The sequence below is a fragment of the Homo sapiens genome, chromosome 18 (genome assembly GCF_000001405.40).
Source record: "Homo sapiens chromosome 18, GRCh38.p14 Primary Assembly".
NCBI classification, from domain to species: Eukaryota; Metazoa; Chordata; class Mammalia; order Primates; family Hominidae; genus Homo; species Homo sapiens.
In genome coordinates this window covers 72,432,399-72,435,123 of record NC_000018.10, presented here as the reverse complement: position 1 = coordinate 72,435,123, position 2,725 = coordinate 72,432,399, and the positions used below count along the sequence as shown (strand labels likewise).

Sequence of the window (2,725 nt, the reverse complement as noted above, 5' to 3'; positions counted from 1 at the left end):
TTATCTTATCTTGTGATCCTCAAATCTTTTTTTTTTTTTTTTTTTCTGAGATGGGGTCTTGTACTGCCACCCAGCCTGGAGTGCAGTGGCCCCAGACTGGAGTGCTGTGGCACAGTCTCGGCTCATTGAAACCTCTGCCTCCTGGGTTCAAGTGATTCTCCTGCCTCAGCCTCCCCAGTAGCTGGGATTACAGGTGCGCAACCCCATGCTTGGCTAATTTTTGTATTTTTAGTAGAGATGGGGTTTTGCCATGTTGTCCAGGCTGGTCTTGAACTCCTGAACTCGGGTGATCTGCCCACCTCAGCCTCCCCAAATGCTGGGAGTACAGGTGTGAACCACTGCGCCCAGCCCCTCCAGTCATTCTTATTCCACATTCTTATTATACCTAGTTGATTCTGCCTTGGCGTATGTGCATCTTGTTTCGGGGTCTTCGTAGATGACTGAAACAGACATTCACCTTGACTTGCTAAATAAATGCCAGTGACATTCCAGCTCCCATTAAAATATATATATATATATATAACTTTATAATGTAAAAGTTCTCTATTGAAGTCTGTATGGCAACTGCCTCCTTTGGATGGGATTAACATTGCTGTGATACTACAGTGCCAAGAAAGAGTTTAAAAATGTGCACTTACTGATGGGATGTGGGTAAGAGTACGTATTCCATGCTCCTATGTAATTGAGGAAGAGCAGCCTTCACCATCTCCTCACTGCCGCCATGCCCGGCTCTTTAACGCTGGCCATCGCCTGACAGACAGTCCTTGCTGAGTCACGATGATTGCACTGTACTGTTTTATGATGTACACAACTTGTTATTTATATGCATCTGAGGATTGGAGGTGAGCCTTCAATACCTAATCCAGGATTCAATTTAGAACATACAAATTATTCCACAAATTCTCACCATTTTCATAATTTTGAGACAGTCTTAAGATATTAAAAGATAAAGGCAAAAATTACTCTCTCAAAATTAATAATATTTCTATATTGTATGAACATTACATATAATCAGGGTATAGATTGTGTTATGTGAAAATGTCAAAAACCAGAATATTATTATATCTTGCATGTAACTACAGTGAAACTAAACTTTTCATAAATAAATCTCAAATCTTTTCAAATAATTTGTTTTTAACACAAATTCTAAGCAATGACGTCATGATCCATTGATCCTTGCACATACTGAAAACTTAAGACAAAAAGACTTAATAGAAAGCAACTTGACGGGGAGTGTAAGAAGGTCGACAACAAGGGTTGTCAACGAGGGCGACAAGGGTTGAAAAATTACCTTTGGGTACTATGTTCACTATTTTAGTAATGGGTATACTAGAAGCCCAATCCCTACTAGTATGAAATAAAAATGCAACAAACATGCACATGTACCCCCTGAATCTAGAATAAAATATTATTAAAAAATGCATATGTTAAAAAACAGCAACTTGAACTACTTCCTTACTAAACTCCTGGTCTTTCCAAAAGCAAACAGATTTTAAAATTTTAATTTAAAAAAAATTTTTGGCCAGGCACGGTGGCTCAGGCCTGTAATCCCAGCACTTTGGGAGGTCAAGGTGGGCGGATCATGAGGTCAAGAGATCGAGACCATCCTGGCCAACATGGTGAAACCCCATCTCTACTAAAAATACAAAAAATTAGCTGGGTGTGGTGGCATGTGCCTGTAGTCCCAGCTACTCGCGAGGCTGAGGCAGGGAATCGCTTGAACCAGGGAGGTGGAGGTTGCAGTGAGCCGAGATGGCACCATTGCATTCCAGCCTGGTGACAGAATGAGACTCCCTCTCAAAAAAAAAAAAAAAAAGCTAACTTAATATTTCTAAATAATATCTTTACATTATAATTAATTGTGTTCTCATATTTAAGCTTCCTGTATAGACTTAGGTAGGATTGATGAAGATAGAAGAAAGGATTACTGAAGATTAGCCTATTAGAACTTTATAATGTAAAACTAATGATGCAGCATATACTAGTTGCACTGGTTTTAGTTTCTCTATTCATTATAACTTCAAGTAATATATCATACCCTTGTTCCTTTTTGCATAACATAGCTACTCTCTTGATCTCTTGAGTCTCCATTTTAGAAAATGTTGGTGTTCTTGCTCTTTCTTCCAACTCTTCTCTCTGACTTTGATCTCTCAACCTCTCTCATTTACACTTTTAGTTTTATAATGTCAAAGTTAATAAAATTTAAATTTTATCTGCAAGTGAATTCTTAGGATTGAAATTTTAAAAATTGCAATCTGTTTTACTGTGAATCTCATTTACTGCAGAGACAAGCAATCTACTATTATCACATTTTTTTCTTTCTGATATTTGTAAAGCTTCCAAATGTCTTTTTTTCTCCAATACTTGACATTTTCTTTTCCAATTGTGTTTTTTTCTCAAGTCCTCCTACCTAGCTATTATCCTTGCCCTTTTCTTCATTGTGCTCTTGATGTTTGTTCAATATTTTCATCTTTTTATTGATATTTTGTTTCTGCTTTATATATTCTTAATAAACTTCCTTAAAAATCAGTGCAAGTACTTTTATTTTTCTTGTACACCTGATATTTTTTATTCTGTACTAACATTTCCCTGATGGTGTGGCTGAGCATACAATTACAGTTTATTACTTTTGTCTTCACTAAATTAAGGGAATCTATTCACTGTCTTTCAGCATTCCATGTCATCGGTGAGAAGTCTGATATTTCCTTGACTCACATCTTTCTTG

The 2,725-nt window shown here is 37.0% G+C and overlaps 1 annotated feature.

The window, feature by feature from the left end:
- Window positions 218-1,417: an enhancer, noted in NCBI's record as "MED14-independent group 3 enhancer chr18:70100942-70102141 (GRCh37/hg19 assembly coordinates)". NCBI's record gives its function as "activates an origin of replication core promoter dependent on BRD2, BRD4, P300/CBP and CDK7 cofactors, and independent of MED14, by STARR-seq in HCT116 cells {active_cell/tissue: HCT116}" and the evidence as "EXISTENCE:reporter gene assay evidence [ECO:0000049][PMID:35650434]".